General features: G+C 39.2%; 1 protein-coding gene across 5 annotated transcripts in view, besides 1 other annotated feature; it reads left to right on the forward strand.

The window, feature by feature from the left end:
• The window catches only part of ADGRG4 (adhesion G protein-coupled receptor G4), a 115,928-nt gene that overhangs the window by 83,737 nt on the left and 11,841 nt on the right, over positions 1 to 20,350 (forward strand). For 3 of the 5 annotated variants that reach the window (NM_153834.4, XM_011531269.3, XM_011531271.3), the window contains 7 exons: positions 3,041 to 3,175; positions 7,533 to 7,655; positions 8,836 to 8,881; positions 10,691 to 10,794; positions 13,182 to 13,303; positions 15,149 to 15,417; positions 18,545 to 18,623. In NM_153834.4, the coding sequence (NP_722576.3) occupies positions 3,041 to 3,175; positions 7,533 to 7,655; positions 8,836 to 8,881; positions 10,691 to 10,794; positions 13,182 to 13,303; positions 15,149 to 15,417; positions 18,545 to 18,623 (878 nt within the window). Of the gene's footprint in view, positions 1 to 3,040; positions 3,176 to 7,532; positions 7,656 to 8,835; positions 8,882 to 10,690; positions 10,795 to 13,181; positions 13,304 to 15,148; positions 15,418 to 18,544; positions 18,624 to 20,350 lie in introns of those variants that run through there. The other 2 variants (XM_047441830.1, XM_047441831.1) reach the window with 2 other exon arrangements.
• Positions 1,754 to 2,953: an enhancer, noted in NCBI's record as "MED14-independent group 3 enhancer chrX:135468612-135469811 (GRCh37/hg19 assembly coordinates)". NCBI's record gives its function as "activates an origin of replication core promoter dependent on BRD2, BRD4, P300/CBP and CDK7 cofactors, and independent of MED14, by STARR-seq in HCT116 cells {active_cell/tissue: HCT116}" and the evidence as "EXISTENCE:reporter gene assay evidence [ECO:0000049][PMID:35650434]".

Consider the following 20,350-nt stretch of genomic DNA (forward strand, 5'->3'; position numbering starts at 1 on the left):
ATTGGCAAGTCCTTCCCCCAGCCCCCAGCATTTTAAAGATGTCATTTCACTCTCTTCTGGCCTTTATGTTTTCTGAAGAGAAATCAGTAATCATTTGAGTTCTTGTTTCTCTGTATATAATGTGTAATTTTTCTCTGGCTTTTTAAAATATTTTCTTTGATATTCTGCAGTTTGACTATTATATGCCTGGGCATTTTTTTTTTCTTTGTACTTATCCTGCTAAGGGTTTGCTGAGCTTCTTGAATATGTAAATTTATACCTTTTACTGAATTTGGGGAAATTTTCACTGTTATTCCTTCAAATACTGTTTCCTCACCATTTTCTCTTTCCTCTCCTTTTGAGACTCCAATTACTTGTATGTAAGATCTTTTGATACTCCCCCACATATCCCTGAGACTGTTCATGTTTTTAATCATTTCACTATCTATTCTTCCAAAAGGATCATTTATATTGATCTACCTTTAAATTTGCAGACATCTGTTGTTTTCATGTTACTATTGGACCCATCCTGTGCAATTTTTTAAATTGTACAGTTTTTAGAATTCATGCTAAATGAATAGATTTTAGCTACTCTTGCCACAAAAACAACAAAAAAAGAGGTAACTATGTGAGACCATGGATATGTTAATTTGCTTCACTATAGTAACCTTTTTACTCTCTATATGTATCCCGTAATATTATGTTATATACCTTAAATACACACAATAAAATTTACTTTTTAAAAATTCCAATTATACTCAAAGTTTAGAATTTCTGTTTTGTTTGTTTCTGTTTCTTTTTAACCATTATTTCCTCTCTCCATTAATTGCAAACATATTATCTTTTAAATACCTCAGCATAGTTATACTAGCTGCTTTAAAATCCTTGTCTGCTAATTCTAATATCTGGAAAATCTCAAGGTTTAACTCCATTGATTATCTTTTAAAAATGGGTCACATTTTTTCTTCACGTATTGAGTAATTTTGGACTATGTCCTGGGTTTTATAAATGTTATATATATGAACACTCTAGATTCTACTCTATTCTTTTGTAGATTATAGATTTTTGTCATAACAGGCAATTAACTTGGTTGGACTATACTGTAGACACCAACTCTTGATTGGCAGTTCAAATCTCAGTTAATTCCTTTATTCTTAGTGGAAGTATGTCCTGTACATATGTGGTCCAGAGGTCAGGCATATATTTGGGCAGAATTTATACTCAGAATTTTGGATCCCGCTTTCCATTCCAGATGTCCACCACAACCCCCATCACCTCCCAGTGGCTATGGTTGCCCTGGCTTTTGTTTCTGGTTCTTCATTCCACAAAGACTGCAATTAAAAAAAAAATCAAAGTTTTAGATGTCCTTCACAGCATTAGTTTCAGCCTGCCATCAGGCTACAAGATGTAAAAACGGGTACCCCACCTTGTGATGTTACCTTTTTCCAAGTGTTTACTCTTCTCCAGAAACTGTCTGCTTTTGGTAATTTTCCAGTGCCTTCAAGTCGTTGTTACTTTGTATTGTTGTTATATGCAGGAGAGTTGAGTTTATTAGGAGCTACTTAGCCATATTGAAACAGATGTTGAATTCCCAGTGTATTTTGTTTACAATGGGGTTTTCTATCATGAATCTTGGTGGAGAGACAAACCAAACAACACCAGTTGTATTCTTGGTGCCAAACTGCTTACATATTGAAGCTAAATCATGACCTCTCCATGGTACTTGATTGCCCTAGCAGAGTTCATTTCTGCTTAGCAAAGAGCCATATGGGTTTTGAGACTACAAGTCATTTTTAGAAATATTATTCACTTTTAACCCCCACTATACACCCAGCTAGATAATAGCAACTTGAGAGGCAGCATAGATAATTTTAAAAAGTGGGCCAAAATTGCATATATCTTTGTTCACCCACATCCCAGTTGTGTGATCCTAAGCAATTCACTTAATCTTTCTACGCCATTTCCTGTTGCCATAATACAACGTACCTCTCAGAGTTGATAGAGAGATTAAATGGGAGAATGCAGGTAAGTGTGTCCACATATTCTGTTTTGTATGGGAGAATCCAGATTTATGGCTGTGGACTTAGTGTAATTATTAACAAAGCCCTTTTGACTCTCAAAAATGTTCCAGTACTTGTCAAATACTATTACCAATCAACTCAGCAAATACTTCTGATAGTGGATGTCTTGTTCCATTTTGTGCTGCTATAACAGAATACCACAGAATGGATAATTTCTGATGAACAGAAATTTATTGGTTCACAGTTCTGGTGGCTGGGAAGTTGAAGATCAAGGGGCCGCCTGCGGTGAGAGCCTTCTTGCTGTGTCATCCAATGGCAGATGTGCAAAGAGAGGGAGAGAGAGAACAAAAGATTGAACTCACAGCCTCAAGCCCTTTTATAATTGGCATTAATCCATTCAACAGGGTGGAGCCTTCATGACCTAAACATATCCCATTGTGCCCCAGCCCCCATTATTATCACATTGGGGATTAAGTTTCTAGTACATGCTTTTTGGGGGACATATTCAAACCATAGCTGTGAGCATGCAGCAGAATTGCTAAGCGCTAATGCCTCACTTCCCTGCTTCACTTTTTAACCAAAACATTGCTCCATAAACTATGAGGAAAGTGCCTAATATCATTGTATTGTGTTTTTTATTGTTACTTTGTTTTTTCCTTTTAACATATGGAGGAAGGTAGCCTGAGTTCCAAGACTGGTCTTTATTTCTGATAATCAGGGCAAATGACCTAATTTGTCATTTCCCTCTCATCTCTATTATTACCCAGGTGAAAGGAGATCAAAGGGAGAGAACCTCAGGAATAGGCTTAGAAAGGAAAAGATGATGTGTGTTTGTGTCTATGTCTGTGTGTACCAGGATCATGTCTTGGCCTGTGACTGTGTGTGTGTGTGTGTGAAAAGTGTATCATCGCTTATGGAGCTAGTTCCCACCTTTCAGTCCTTTGGGTGATATTCTGAGGCTGAGCTGGGGTGGGAGGTGGGCAGGACTTCACTATGATGAATGAAGACTCCAATTTTCATTTTTTGGCTTTTCTTGGCAGATTTTCCTAGGCAATGTCCCTGTGGGAGGGATTTTGGCTTCCATATATTTGCCTAAATCACTGACGGAGAGAATTCCTCTTAGCAACTTACAAACGATCTTGTTTAATTTCTTTGGCCAAACTTCACTCTTTAAGGTAAATTCTTGCCTGTGGTAACTGTGATGAACTGGCATATGGTGACTCATTGTAATTATGAACTCTTGCTATTTTCATGATGTTCTGCTTATTTTAGAATATGCTGATTGATTCCACAAGTCTTCCAACACAACCCCTGCCCCTTAACATGAATCAACGTCTACTTTAATGATGTTCTACAGTTTTTAGTTTTCACAATATCTCAGCTTTGGAAGGAAACTTAAGGATTATCTGGTGGCTAAACAGAGGCCTCAAGATGTTTCAAAGCCAAAAAAGAACAGCGAGTTCTCCTGATGAAATGATGTTTCGGCTTATCAGTGCTTTCCTCCCAAATCTCCCCTGGCTCCTCAAAGCCAACATGTCCACTATTCTTGGCCAATTCCTTTGAAGTTGGGTGGTATCCAGAAGGACATTTGCCTGCAGGCATTTGTTGCTACTTCCCACAGCCCCCACAGAACTTTCTCTGAAGGCTGCAGTCCTCACCCACTAGAAAACAGAGGCAGCATGATGTGATGCTGAAGAGTGTGGACTCAGGGGCAGGCTGGTTGAATTAAAAGCTGGCAATGCCATATTCTGCCTGTGTGTCCTCAAGCAAGTTACTCAACCTTCATGTGCCTTAATTTCCTTCTCTGTAGTATAGGGTAATAAGAATTCCTTATAGAGCTATTGAAGGATTAAAGGAATTGGTGTATTTAAAGTGCTTACAATACCGCTTGGCACATAAGTACCATGTTAAGTGTTTGCTCTACTATTATTAGTATCCTGTCTTAGGTCTCTGCCTAACAAAAGCCTCATTCGTTTAGACCACTCTGTCTCATCTAGCTATTGGGAAGACAGTAATCAGAGTTTGCATGAATTTGAAGATAATGAACACTATTAATTGTTAATATTTACATTTATTATTTCATCTACTTCTCATGAGAAGCTGATACTCAAAAAGGTTAAGTAATTTTTCCCAAGGCCACATACCTAAAAAGTGGCATAGCTAGGAATCAAACCCAGGCTATCTGACTTCAAAGTTCATGTATTTAAAGTCAATACAATAATTTTCCCAGATGTGTTTGTATTTCTAAAGAGGTTATCCAAAGTAATGAATTTCTAATGGTCAAATATCCACATTTCTTTTGTGGGAGGTTGCACTGGGCCAGCTCAAAATATAGCACATACCCATACCACACGCCACCTCAAATATACCATGTCACCTCCAGCTATGTCTGTAAGACTTTCTGTTCCCCTGGAGTTCTCTAGCCACTCCTTTCTCTCTCTAAATTCTATGTGTTCCTGTGGGCTTAGCTCAAATCCCACCCAGGGTGGCTGCCTGGAGTAAGTGAGTCTCTGCTCTCCTTCCTGCCTCCTGGGCAAAATATTTAGTGGGCAAAACATTTTAATAAAAATTAAAAATATGCTCCACAACACTTTGACCCTTTTGGTAGGCTTACAATTTCTCTTTGTCACTTGAGATGCCATTATTTTGGTCTTAATTTCTCTCCTTTCTTCAGAGGGCTGTGCTTGTCTCGTAGAATAAGAGATAAACTTGTTTTGCATAGATTTCACACTTAATAAGTCATTTTTATTCACTAACACTTTCTACTGGAAGAGATTAAAGATCTTTGCCAAAATTAAACTGCAAACATCATAGTACCAGATGAAGAAGGATTAGAACTAGCCTGCTTCAAATTCAGAGTTGAAAGGGCCCTCCTAACTCATATCATCCCATCTATTCATTTTACCATTGGTAAAAGTAAAATGGATATTGAGGACCTCGAGTCTCAGAGAGGGGAAGGAATCTGCTGAAGGTGTCACAATTTATTCATTCATTCACTCAATCATTTATTCATTCAGCAAATATTTATTTAATTCCTACTGTGTGTCTTGTACGGTGCTGAATGCTGAGGATGCAATGCTGAGCAAGATACATAGTGCCTGCTCTCATGGAACTTCCAGTCTGCTGGAGGGGAAAACAGACCTAAATGTTCTAACATTAAAGGGGTGACCCTAGGCTGGGATCTGTGCCACTGGTTATTGGGGAAAGAGTACTTACAAAAATGCTGCTCTTTAATTCTATTTTTCTTGAATCCCCGAGTATCACAGCCTTGCTTTCGCACTACTTTCTCTAATATTTTTTGATCAAAATCTTAAGTCATTATGACACATAACCTTAGAAATTTGTTTGTTTGTTTGTTTGTGTCTTTTAAAGACAGGATCTCGCTCTGCCACCCAGGCTGGAGTGTAGTGGTGCAATCACAGCTCACTGCAACCTCTAACTCCTGGGTTCAAGAGATCCTCCTGGCTCAGCCTCCCAAGTAGCTGGGAATATAGGTGCTCACCACTGTGCCTGGTTAATTTTCATATTTTTTTGTAGAGATGGGGTCTCACTTTGTTGCCCAAGCTGGTCTCAAACTCCTGGTCTCAAGCCATCCTCCTGTCTCTGCCTCCCAAAGCGTTAGGTTTACAGGCATGAGCCACCGTGCCTGGTCCATAGAAATTGTTGATAAGGCACCACTCTTGGATAATATGTGTCTCCTCCTCCACACCTCCTCTAGCTGTGATTCTCAGGGAGAGGGACAGGCACTAGGCGGTTACAATATGGCACAGGGGCTCTGGGTGCATAGAAGAGGGAATCTACCACTCATCTGGAAGATCAGGAAAGTGCAGTGAGAGAAAGGTCTCAGCGGAGCCCTGAAGTTGAGTAGGAGCTCAAAGATGAAATAGGGCAAAGAGAAGGAGAGAAGAGAGTTTCAGAGAGAGGGAATAGCTTGTCTAAAAGTTCAGAGGTGTAACAGATAAAACTTGAGCCTACAGTGCAAAGGGTGGAAGGATGAGGAAGTTTCTATTCCTTTCCTGGCATGGCTACCGTTTTGTAGTAAGGGAAATGAAACCAGAGAAAAGGCTAATTAAGTTTTGGATCATAGTGTGTGTCTCCTCCTTTGGCCTTTTCACTACAGAAAACTGCGTCACTTAGACTAAGTTGGGAGGATCATTAAATAACATCTAGTCTGCCATCTTTCCTAGTGTCACCAATAGACCAGGAAGGGGTAATAGGGCTTAGGAGGAACAAGAGAGCTAGGGTTAGCCCTTAGCCTTTTGAGTGTCAGCAGGGCCCTTCCCATTATATCTTGCTGTTGGCCATCTCTAAATCAGGTTGCCCCAGGCTGGTTTTGAATGAACAGAACAGGTCAGAAACAGGAAGTAAGTAGAGTCCTAGTGGAGCCCCAGGCTGAATTTGCAACTACCCAGGCTGCAGGGCTCAGGTGTGTAGGGTAGGTAGTAGGGACTGCACACTGTTTCTTCAGAAATATGAAGCCTTGGCATCTTCTAAAAGTGGCCCAGCAGGATCTCCAAGGAATGTCATCTGCGTTCACGTCCTCTAGGCTTTTGTGGGGAAGTCCTCAGAGATTTTTCTTCCTCTCCCTCTTGTCTGGTATCACCAGCCCTACCTGTGGCCTCTTCACATGTGCCTGTGCCCCAGAACAGGCAGCATCTCAGCTGACTTGCATCCTGGAGCCTTGGCCTGGGGTACTTTGGCACTGTTAGTTAGCAAGCCCCACTTCTCAAGAGATACATTCTAGTTTGTTGCCTTTAAACCAACATTTATTAAGCATTCCTGCCCTGTCACCCACTAGCTGAGTGATCTTTATCCATTTAGGCACTGAGCCACTCAAGCCTCAGTTTATCTGAAAAATGCTTATATGGCTTCAATGAGGACTGCAAATGGCATGTGCATGAAAAGCACATAATAAGTGGCTCACTGTGGGCACAAGACACCTGCTGTGTCCTAGGATATGTGAGGAACACCAGGCTATACAATGCCTGGGCTCTGGCCTCAGAGCTCACAGTCCCCTAAGAAGGCGATGACTGTCCTCTGAAATTTGTTTCAAACTGGGTGTTGATCAACCTGCTTCCATCTCTGTCAGAATAGAACAAGAAGTGGTTTATAACTTACAAATGATAGATTTAGGTTTCTTATAGAGGAGCTCCCTAAAAGTAAGCAAGGATGGTTGAGAGTTAGAACTGGGATAAGTTGTGAAATGTCAAGGTCCAGAAAGTTACCAAAATAGAGAATAGTTTCATTTTGTTGCTAGTGCAGTACTGAGTAGCAGGTGCAAAACAAATGCGTGCTAAATACACATTTGGTTGGATGGATGGATGGATTAATGAATTGTTCTAGCTTGGTATAATGGAGACCTTATGTGAAGACAGGAGATGAGCTGAATAACCTTTGACCTTAGCTTGCAATTTTATTTTCCACATTTCTGTACCTAACATTGTGTGTAGCACTTCAAAATTCCAGATTGATTATTAATATGTAAGTAATTAGAAATTTAGGTCCTGAACTCCTCTTTTGTTTCATCTGCAGACCAAAAATGTCACTAAAGCATTAACCACCTATGTTGTGAGTGCCAGCATTTCAGATGATATGTTCATTCAAAACTTAGCTGACCCAGTGGTTATCACTCTGCAGCATATTGGAGGAAACCAGGTAATATATCTATTTTCAGCTCAGAATCAAATGGCCTCAGGAACTCTTCACGACTTTTCTGTTAAAAGTAATTTGTTAATTAACAGATGTGATTCTAACACTTAATGAGGAATGTCCTATTCCAGGTAGCAAATGTGTGTTATAATTGGAACCTTCCAGAAATAATGCCTTATCCTAAAGTGATAGGGAATGATGGGCATTCTAGCACTGTGACAGATTGGTGGGGCAGTGACTGGATCTTTTGGATGTCCCATCACACTAAATGACATGTGATTCCATTTATTTTTGAGCGAGACAAGCAACTTCACTCAAAATAATTGAATATTTGTATTACTTGAATTTCCAGAAATAACATTAAAACGTGTATGAATTATCACCAAAGAACTAAAAGCATAGTCATATGGCATAACATAAGCTATATATTACTAAATAATCAACTTTAGCCTAAGTACAAGTATGAATGACTATTCCATTATTTGACGTTAGTGTATGGCCAGTGTGACGTCTCAATAGATTTCTCAGTTCCCAGTCTAAAAGACCATATAGTTCAGCATACTTTTCACTGGTCTTGATTCTAGAAGGGAAGAAGAGAAGGAAGAGAGGGAGAGGAAATTTAAAGAAACAAATACCAAATGAAACGTGTTAGATAGGTAAGATCTCTCAATTTGGTCTGGGCTACAGCACTTCAATTATCCCCGGTAACTAATTGCTCCTTGCCTGCAGTTTCCTGGAGACTACAGGAGCTGGTGAAGTCTTAGGAATGTTCTGTAGGCCTAATGATGGGGCAGATCAAATTTCTGTCCATAAGGCTTGATCTCAGCGGTGAGCCCCGAATTCCAAAGCTCCAGAAGGAACACATCAGCCCTGCATTGACTATCCATAGCCTTGTACCAGAAGGGCATGGCAATTTTTAATACTACCAAATATTTTAAAGGACATATCAGATCACCAGCCGGTGACATGCTGTTTTCTCACTTGTAAATCCAGAGTTAGATGGTGGAGTTAGTCTAAAAGCCAATTCACAAATGGCCCAAATGTGTATGTGTATGTGTGTGTGCATGTCAGTGTGTGCATGTTTACCATGGGAAAAAATATTGGGAAGAAAACACTTATGTGTATATGTTACTATATGGTAAATATCACAAGGCAAGATGTTTACCTCTGATTTCTTTTTTTCCAGAATTATGGTCAAGTTCACTGTGCCTTTTGGGATTTTGAGAATAATAGTAAGTATTTTTGTTAGCAACTTTGACTTTGCCCCAGACCATTTTCCCACTTGGCAGTTAAATGGGAGGGGGTTGTGCTGAAACTACTGTCTTATCAGACCCTACAGAGCATTCTGAATGACCAAGATACAGGATATGATTTTTATATCAAATTAGGGCATGGGAATTAAGACAACTTTCCTTTTTGATAGGTAAGATCTCTCAATTGGTGCTGGGGCTACAGTGCTCCAATCATGCCCAATAACTAATTGCTCCTTACCTGCAGTTTCCTGAAGATTATAGGAGCTTATTACAAGTATCTTAGGCCCCAAAAATAATTATTTGGAAAATCAGAAAAATTACACAACTCGAGGGTAAGCAAAGTTGGAAGAAAGAAATTTGGAAGGCCCAGCGCAGAGTAGCCTTGAACTGTTTGAAGAAAGTTGAGGAAGGAATACCTGGTTCTTTATCTGTGCTCTCCCACAGGGTTTTGCAAGATCTATGATCTCCTTCCCTTTTTTTTTCCTCACCTCTTTTAGACTGACTGTGTGACCTTGGGTAGACAATTTACCCCCTCTGAGCCCCAGTCTTTTTATCTTTTCATTGAGGAGATGAAACTTCTTGGTTGGTCTCTAAGGACCCTACTTGCTTGAATAAGCATGAGTCTTTGGAGACAGACAGTAGAAGACTGGGAATGGTCATTGCTGACTGGGTTGCTCTTAGCATTGCCATCTTCACTGGAAATATCCAGGGTTATCACCAAATCTCAGAGAATTTCCACACAGAATAAATTTCCCTAAGAACGCCAGGAGTGGCTAAGTGAGGAGTCCTTCTGCCTGTGGAAACTCTGCCTGGAACCTTTCCCTTTTTCACTATCCTTGGAATTCTGGGACAAAATGGAAATTCTCTTCCCATTCGGCTCCCTAGAGTATAAGAATACTACTTCTTTCTGACAAACAAAAATAACACTGCCCTTTCCTGATCCCCTCCAAGTCTCTCAGGATAAAACTCTATAAAGCGATGAGCTTTGTCCCCTACAACCTCAATATGTTGATCTCTATGTTCATTAACGCAAATTGCTGGGGTACTCCCAGGTCACCCTTTGCCCCTGCACCTCTGCCCCGTGGATCTAGAACCTCTGGAATCTATGGCATTATCCCAGATGGACAAATGTTGACCAAACTTAGCTGCCTGCCCGGGGATAACCCCTTTGGTCTAGTGCCACTTGGGAAGTTCTAGTCTCAAATCTGATCTAGTACCTGAGATCTACAGGTTGTGGAGGTATGAGTGTTAGTTCTAAACCTGAGTGTGCTCAGAAGAAACTAGCCAGATGTCTAGTAGAGCAGAGGCTCTAATTGGCCCTGCAGAGCTCCAGACCATGATCTGACTTTGATTGAAAGCACTTGAGACCCTTTGAATTGCGGGTTCAGCTGGGTGTTCAGATGTCTATTCCAGTCCCTCTGAGTAAGCTCAAGTACCAGCTTATATTCCATACGTCCATGTCCTTAAAAATATTCTAGATCTGCTTGCTTCCTATTTATTGGCTACTTAAAAAAAAGTTCATGGTTAGAGTCTGTCCTAATTTGTAGAGGTATGGTACAAGAACAGGAAAAGGGAGAGCCGAAGAAGTTGTGCCATTTACGAAGTCCCCAAAAAGTCAATTTAGTCTGTTAGACTTAATTTAATTTCAGTGTTCAATTATACCCCTAATCTTGCTATCTCAGCAAATAATATTAATTATAACACACGTTTGGATAGTGAATATAATGAAAAGTTAAACATTTCTGAGAAAAACAAAATTGCTTTGAAATTTCCTTCTGTCTCCTACAGATGGGCTGGGTGGATGGAATTCGTCAGGCTGTAAAGTAAAGGAAACAAATGTAAATTACACAATCTGTCAGTGTGACCACCTCACCCATTTTGGAGTCTTAATGGTGAGTTGTCTCTTAGTCACTCCTCGATGGAAGTTTGACAATTTTTATTAGACCAGTAATATATGTGTGAACTGTTATTAAAAAATGGTATGCATTTGGAAAAAAATCCCCCTTCCAATTTGTTCATCCAAAGTAGATCAGATTGAGACAAATATTTATTTATTTATTCTCCTTATAAAATTAATGCTTGCTTCTCAAATTTCAAACAGTACAGAAAAGGTCCCTTTAACCTCCCTCCCAAGTGATCACCACCTTTAACAGGCTAACATGTATATTCATTTAGGTTCTTTTCCTGTGTATATAGGAATGTACATTTTTGTTTTATAAACATGGTATCAAATTATTCATACTGTTTTTACCGATTGCTTTTCTCATTTAACAATATATATTGCACAACTTTCAGGCAAATGTGTATGTATCTATTATACTTCAATTTTTAAAATACCTTTATAGTATACCATTGCTTGGGTTTAACACAATAAATTTAACTAATCCCTGACTAGTGGACATTATAGCTGTTGCTGTTTTTCTCATTATAAATATTGCTGTAATACACATTCTTACTCATGTATCTTCAAACATTGGTGTAAGTATTTTTGCAGGATAAGTTGACAGAAGTAGAATTGCTGGATTAAAGGGTCTGGTCATTAAAATATTTAAATTTAAGAAGGATCATAAGTATTTGCTGAGTTTTTCTTCCAAATGACTCTCAAATGTATTCCTTTTTCTCTACCCGCATCAGAATACTTTCCTGGATTTCTTAGGTAACTTTATTACATACTGTTATCTGAATGTGTCATATGTTACTTATTCCTACAAAGAATGGTTAGCTTTTTGAGGGCTGTGGGTCTGTTTTATATTTATTTATTTTACATATATATATATATATATATGTATGTATATATATATATTTTTTTTTTGAGATGGAGTCTTGCTCTGTCACCCAGGCTGGAGTGCAGTGGTTCTATCTTGGCTCACTGCAAGCTCCGCCTCCCTGGCAGAGGTGGGAAGAATCACCTGAGTCCAGGGAGGTTGAGGCTGCAGTAGGCCGTGGTCAGGCCACTGCACTCCAGCCTGGGCAAAAGAGTGAGAACCTGTCCCAAAAAAAAAAAAAAAAAGAGAGAGAGAGAGAGAGACCAGGGTTCTTGTTCCAGCTCTGTCTGTAACTAACTATGTGATCTTGGTAAGGTTGTTTCCCTCTTTTGGATCTTAGATTTTCTTCTGAAATGTGAATGACTGGAATACACCAGGGTTTCTCAATCTTGGCACTATAGATATTCTGGCCAAATAGTTCTGTCTTTTTTTTTTTTTTTCTTAACGGAGTCTTGCTCTGTCACCAGGCTGGAGTGCAGTGGTGCAATCTCGGGTCACTGCAACTTCTACCTCCTGGTTTCAAGTGATACTCCTGCCTCAGCCTCCCCAGTAGCTGGGATTACAGGTGCCCACCACCACACCCAGCTAACTTTTGTATTTTTTAAGTAGGGACGGGGTTTCACCATTTTGGCCAGGATGGTCTCAATCTCCTGACCTCGTGATCTGTCCACCTCAGCCTCCCAAGGTGCTGAGATTACAGGCATGAGCCACCCCGCCCGGCCCCAAATAATTCTTTGTCGTGGGGGATTGTTCTGTGCATTGTGAGAAGTTTAGCAGCATCCTTGGTCTTTCCCCACTAGATGCCAGTAGCACTCTCCCCAGTTGTGACAACCAAAAATGTCTCCAGATACTGCCAAATGTCCCTGGGAGAGGGGTAACATCACTCCTGGTTGAGAACTACCAAAGTAAACACTGCTTCTTAACCTTTGATGAGTCATGAATCTCTAATCATCTGATGAAAGCTATGGACTTTGTTCTTAGACCAGTGCACACATATATTCAAATAATTTTACATGTCATTTCAGATCTTTAATAGTAATTAATAAATCACTGAACTTTGTGATCTCTAAGGTCCATTTTGTTTGTTAATTTTGTGAAGGCTATTTAAGGACTAAGGAAAAGGACTTTTTTTTTTTTTTTTTTTTTTTTGCTGTTCTGTGTAGTGTTTTGAGATGCTCAGTTCAGATAATTATTCACTTTGCATCCCAAATTCACATCTCTCAGCTTGGTTATATTTTAAATGTAGAACATGTTAATGATGATGAAGCCAAGGACCAAATGTTCTTCCAATGCTATTGATGGCTCCCCATGCCCTGTACACAGTCAGTTGGACTAGGCATACTCAGCAAACAATATTTGGTCTTACCATACATCCATTCACATAATCTGGTTTTAGAAGAGCTATGGCAGAAATGTTATACATCCTGGGAACTTCCTGTTAGTGAACACTGGAAGCATTTTGCCATAAACTTGCTCTGGTGTATGTGTAAAACACAACACATTGTGTTCCTTAGGATTTATCCAGGTCTACAGTGGATTCAGTGAATGAACAGATATTAGCGCTTATAACATACACCGGATGTGGAATCTCCTCCATTTTTCTGGGAGTTGCAGTGGTGACATACATAGCTTTTCAGTAAGTTGATACAGCCTTGCTCTGAGCACATTTAATTTGGTTTGATGGATGCTATTACCATTGTAACTTTGTTAATTTCATGAACACATCACAATAGGAAGAAGTCAGATCCATTAGCTTATGAAGTGGACAGGTTAAAAACAAAACATCAAGGCTTCTCTAAAAATATTTTAATTGGATTTTTGTAAAACAAGGGAGTTGGGATAGGAAAAGATTTCTCTATAGGATATAAGAGCACCAACCCTAAAAGAAAATTTGATAAAGTGGACTTTATTAAGAACTTCTTTAATCAAAAGACACAATTCAGATAGTGAAAGGCAAACCTTACATAGAGAGAAGATATTCACAATGCATATATCAGATAAAAGACTTGTATGCAGAATGTATAAATAACTCCACAAATCAAAAAGCAAAAGACAATAAAGTTTATAAATGGACAAAAGACTTGAACAGGCACCTCACAAAAGAGAATATCCATGCCTAAGCCTAACCCTTACCAAATGGCCAATAAGCATATGACAAAGTTCTTTACATCATTACTCATCAGAGAAATCCTAATTACAACCACAGTTATGTACTTCTCTGCACCCACCAGAATGGCTAAAATTAAAAATAATGACAATAGCAAGTGTCAACAAGCATGTGGAACAACTGGAACTCATACATTTGCTAGTGGGAATGTAAAATGGTTCAGACACTTTGGAAAATTATTCGGCAATACCTGTTAAATATAAATATACATCTCGCTGTTGGCCCAGGAATTTCACTCTTAGATATATACTCAAGACAAATGAGCACATATGTCCACTGAAAGATATGTACAATAATATTTATAGCAGCTTCAGTCACAGTAGCTTCAAATTAGAAACAACCCCAATTTACATTAACAGTTGATTAGATGAATAAATTGTGATATATTTGTAAAATGGAATGCTACACAGCAGTAAAAAATGAATTACTTCTATGCAATGCAACATAATATTTAAATCTCATAGACATAGAATTGAGCAAAGGAAGCCAGAAAAATAAGACAACGTACTGTGTGGTTCCATTTACAAAAAGTTCCAAACACAGGTGAAATCTATGGGGATAGAAGTGAGAGTATTGGTTACCTCTGGTGGGTGATATTGAATGGGAGAAGCATGAAGGAGCCTTCTGGGATGTTGAAACTATTCTACCTCTTGATCTGTGTCGAAGTTCCACAGGTATATACATATGTAAAGATCCATCAAGTTATATTGTTAACACTTGTGCACTTTAATATTTATCTCAGAAAAAAATTCACACAAAATGAAAACAGCAAAATTTAAATCAATAAATATTTAATAACAGCGTAAAATAATCAAAGGGGGTAATACTTTTTTTATTTTGAAAAATACTGGGTGAGTTTCTGCAAAGTAAAGTTGCAATCACTTAATAAAACTTAAGACCATATTTCCATGAGGCCATATATCGGGATCTTTAGAACTATCCAAGTAGCTCTACTTGGAATGGTTTCCACAGTCATCCTGCTATTTGGTAATATGTAGCTCCAGCCTGCTGAAGCAGTGGTGATAGACTCATAGTACCCAGGAAACTCCTTCCTTCTTTCTAAAAGATAAAAAGAAAAATAATAGCCTCTCTCAACTGCGTAGTTGAGAGAGACTATTATTATTTCTGTTAGTTAAGGTCACTATATTTATTATGCTTCGACTTTACCTGGAAAGAGAATGAGGGACTTCAAAGTATAAGCAAAGATGAGTAATTCTTTTATTCTTTCACTTATTATGTAGATAAGATGTGGCGATGTTTAATTAAAAAAAAAAAAACAGACTTTACCTAACAACATTGTACTTTCTCTTTTAGCAAACTTCGAAAAGATTATCCTGCCAAAATTCTGATCAACCTGTGCACAGCACTACTGATGCTAAACCTGGTATTTTTGATCAATTCTTGGTTGTCATCATTTCAGAAAGTGGGAGTTTGTATCACAGCTGCAGTGGCACTTCATTACTTCCTGCTTGTTTCTTTTACTTGGATGGGCCTGGAGGCAGTCCACATGTATTTGGCTCTAGTCAAAGTCTTCAACATATACATTCCAAATTATATCCTTAAATTTTGTCTAGTTGGTTGGGGTAAGTATATCTGCCATTGTTTTTGATATTTATGTCTTAAGTCTGTCTTTCTAATTCTAGCTCTGTTAGATTCTGTTAATATCATAGGTAAAAAATTAAGGATCGCCTTGCTGGTGTTTGGGCATGCATCTTTTTTTTCTGCCTGTATTGCTCTATAAATTCAATTTTTAACCTTTATGGTGAGGAGCTGGTGCACAAATATTTATTGAGCACTTATTGTGTATTGTGCTAAGTGCTGGCTCTATAGTAGTGAACAGATTTTATCCCTTCCTTTACAGAAGTTACAGTCACAACAAATACTGATAAAACAGCTAACACTTAGGTAGCACTTACATGTGCCAGATGCTATTCTAAGTGCTTTATATATGCATTTAATCCTCATAATATCTCCACGGGATAGATTCCATCATTATTCCCATTTAATAGATGAGGAGACTGAGGCACACAGAAAGATGAGGTAATTTGCCAAAACTCACACAGCTAGTAGGCAAGAGAGCTGGGATTTGAGCCAGGAAGTTTGTCTCCATAGTTTGGACTTCTAACCTCTATGGTCTTGCCATATTGTTTAAAGAACAGGAAAAGACTTGAAATGGGTGAAAGAGTGCTGGGTCAGCCAGAACCTGATTCTCATCACACCTCATGACTGTGATGATCACTGCTGGCCTTGGAAGAAGCCAGGAATGGTTCTCAGCATAGATCTTTCTGAATACAAATGTCATTTCATTGGCTTGCTTTCCTGTATTTCTAACTGACATGGTCAGCTCGGCTCCTTTCCTCTCTCTCCCTTGTGTATTCAAGGCAGATTTTGGGTTCAGAAAATGTGTTAGATGTGTAGGAGATGTATATTAAGTAGCATACCTTGGGTACATAGGAACACAGATTTTATCTTCCACTGCCTTTGTGAAGACAATACTCTCCTGATTAGCTACTCATCCCTTTAATGAGTTCATTAACATAGTACATGCTTTCACTGGATACACAGTCAGTGCTATTATCTATGTTAATATGGGGAGCAGAGACAGGCAAATACTGAACAGATCATAATCTAAAAGCTTGTTTTAGTACACTTCGGAATCCATCGGAAGCACAGAGACAAAAGCAGTCGATACACTCCCCTTAGTGCCTTGTGTCCCTCATCTTGATTCAATCAGAGGATTGAAAAATGTGGAAGAGGCTTCATGAATAATCCAAAAAGCAGATAACCCACACATGGCCAATTGTGAAAGGGCTGTAAATATCACTTCATCCTGGCTTTCCTTCTCCCTCATCATCACTCATTCCCAGCTTCTTTTTTAAACCCTTCCTCCAGGACTCACTTCTTATCTCTTTGATCTTCTAATTTCATACACATTTCTTGGGTTACAAGGAGAGGCAGGAAAGGCTAAAGCTTGGTACTTGGAAGCAGGAAAACTTTAGTTACACACAGAAGCTGAGAAGTCTGACTGGCTCAATCAGTAAAGAAAGATACAATAAGCCACTCTTATGTTCAGTTTATTACTTACATAAACTGTGAAAGGAAGAGTACCTAAAAGTGCCATCTTTCACATTCTTGTCCCCCACACTAAAAAGAACGACCCCAAAACAAAGGGAATGGATGACCGCCACGTGAGTTGTAGGATTCCCAGTGGCTGAGGAGCTAGTTTTGAATGGAAGTGATACTGTTTCCTATTCTGCAGCCCTATTCTAAGGGGGCAGGGTACAAAGGCCCACACCTCTGCAGAACCCTGGGAGATGATGAGAAGCTGTCTCCTGACAGCCTCCTGGAGGAGATAGGGAGGTGAGTAGGAGATGGCCCCGGAGCACCTCCTCACAGGCCTCCCACCTTCTCAAATTTGTGGAGGCCTGCACACCGCCCAAATTCAGATAAGCCTTTACCTGTGTGGTCTATGTGGATACATGCACGGTCACCAGGGAGCCACAGCTGAGCTGTCCCACTACAGGGAGTTTTGGAGCATTTCAATATTAGACAAAAGCAATCAACTGTAAGGAAAATAGGTATTAATATCTGTTTATGTTTGATGCTCTGCCTTATGAATGCCAAAGCAACCTGTTGGAAAGGTTTATTACTTTTAATGACAAAAACCACAATTACTTTTGCACCAACTTAATGAACCCCTGTCCAAGACAGTAGATTTGTTTATATTTTTAAAATAACAACAGAAGGGATCTTTTTTTTTTATTTTCAATATGTAAACACAGCTTGAAGACTGCCGCACAACTTCCATCCTAAATATGAGGCCTTCCCCTGTCTCTCCCTTCCAGCCTTCTATTTTAAAAAACATCTGCAGCATTCTAGGTGCTGTGCTTGGGGTGGGCTATACAGATTTGAAGTGACCATCCTGTTTATCACAGAATGGGACAGTGGAGGATTTTTCAAGATACTTGGCATTCTGGGCTTTGGAACAGCTTTGGAAAGCATTTAACAAAACCCCTAAAATGTATGTAGGTGCATGCGCTTAGTCTAGGAGAAATACAATTGAGAGATAAAGAAATCATTTTTTTTTTTGCAAATGTACAAGAAATTGGATTTTTAAACCCTGTGTCTACACTCTCCTCACGTTTGACCATTTTGACTGAACTGATTGCTTTATTATAGTCTGACTGAATTGAGTGGTTGTTAACCGGTCGATCTAGTCAAAATGTCAAACTAGTAACGAGTGTGGAAACAGTTTCCCTGTCAAAAAAGCACTGAAGGCTGCAGCTGATTGCCTGTGCCCTTCTCCTAAGGTGACCTAGACAAAAAGCTATTGGGAACAAAGGGGCGATGTGAAAGGGAGTAAAAATTAGGGGCTCATGATCTAAGAAGAAATGCTTGATGCGAACTTGCATTCCACTCAACTAGATACTTCTTTTGCCAAGTTGATTTTCTGGCACTTGAGCTATTTTTAATAACTAGTGGGCGTTGTATTGGAGCCATTGGCATGCTGTCTAGTTTAGCAGATTGGAGAACTCCTTGAAATGCTTAACTTGGAAGAATTCACAAACATTTTGCAAACAATAGTATTTTGATGCCCGCACATCTGTGGCTTATTTAAACAGTGTCTTAATGTATCATCACCCACAGTCATTGATTAGGTTGCCTCCCTGCTACCTGATGAAATGCCTTTGACTTGCTTTCCCACTGCAGGAATCCCGGCTATCATGGTGGCAATCACAGTCAGTGTGAAAAAAGATCTGTATGGAACTCTGAGCCCAACAACTCCGTTGTAAGTACCAGCATCTCTGTTTCTCTGGTGGTGGGGCTCTGGCCCAGCAGGGTATAGTAAAATGTTCTTGGCCTGGGATTGGTCTTGACCCTTGGCTTCAGGAAGAAATCAACCTAAGTCCTTTTGCCCTAAACATAGGCCACATTTATGTGATGGTTAGTTGCCCGGGTCCTCTATGACCTTGGGCAAGTTACCTTACCTTTCAGTTCAATTTCCTCTTCTGGAAAATGGGGATAATAATGTTTTCTCTTAATGTCCTGTGCAAATTAAAATGATATGATGTATGAAATGTGCTCAGCATATTGCCTGTTCTATGCTGTGTAACTGGCAGGTATTATGATTACAAAGCTCACACATCAGGTCATTGCAAAGAGTTAGTGGCCCCTACAAGGAAATTCTGAGATGATTTGGAAAACATTTTTTACCTTTCAACAACAAAGGTCTTCCCTGAAGAACGCTGAACAGCTTTCCTTTGTAAACGGCCTCGGCTTTATTGTCCTCTTGTTTCTTTTCATTTTTTTCCTTTTCTCCCATTTGATGTATAAGTTCATCTCTTTAGTTCTCTCAACCACAATCACGCGAGAGTAGCAATTCACTTCACCCCACCTCTCCAGAACCTTCTTTTACAGGCATGTAGATAGTTGCCCTGTGGTCCTTTAGGCTGCACAATCTCATTTTACACTTCTGATTGTTCCATTCTTTTTATCATTGCCTCTCAAGTTCTCTTCCACTATAGATTTCCTCTCCCACTGGACTGGAATTAAATGTAGAAGGTCCTGCTCTAAGACTCCCCCATCTTTCATACTGAGATGACAGTTTCCATGGGGTCAAAATTATTTTGCCCTTTGCAGCAGATGCTTTCTAATTAAAATTCCTTGTTATGTTTTCTTTCTCTTCCATTTTCTCTTCCCTTCCTTCTCATCTCCCCCTCCATCCTCCCCCTTTGCCCGTTTTGTGACTTAAAAAGTCCCCAGTGTCTACCTAATGGTGACCCTTCTTGAACCATCAAAAGCAAGAGCAAAAGCAAAATCAGAACAAAATCAACTCCACTTTTTCCCAAAAGAGATTTTTCAGATGTGACTTGGTTAGTAAGAGGCCGACTGCTCTAATAGTTTTTTTTCAAATTATATTTTGAAGAAGTAATTCATGCACATGGAACAAAATCCAAACGTACAACAGGGTAGAGGATGAAAAGTAAGCCCCGCTTCCAACCCCTAGCTACCCAGTTTCCCTCCTGAGGTAACTCTTATTACCAATTTATTACCAACGATCAAATTTGTATGGATATTCTCTTGCACACTTTGTTACCCAAGTGGTAGATATACACCATTTAGCACCTTGGTCTTTCCACTTAACAATATATCTTGGAGGTGATTCTCTACCCAAACATATAACACTATCTCATTTTAACAGTTTTCTGTGGCGTCTTTTAAGGATGCTGATGACATTCAGGGAACTCTAGGTGTCAGAATCTATTAGGAAAATTAAATGTTTTTTTAACATGTTTGCAACACACACACACACAAACTCACACATATGTGTAAGTATCCACGCCAACATAAACGACATGACCAAAAGAGATTTTCCTGGTTTTAGAAAAGAGAGCTCAGCTAAGTTGACACACAGTTAAATTAGTCAAGCTTCTCTGTGTTCAAAAATCAGGGAAAATGCCTCCAGTAATTGCAAATGTTATTAAATGGACTATCTGTTCATATGAATCACTGCAT

The sequence above is a fragment of the Homo sapiens genome, chromosome X (genome assembly GCF_000001405.40).
Source record: "Homo sapiens chromosome X, GRCh38.p14 Primary Assembly".
Classification (NCBI taxonomy): Eukaryota; Metazoa; Chordata; class Mammalia; order Primates; family Hominidae; genus Homo; species Homo sapiens.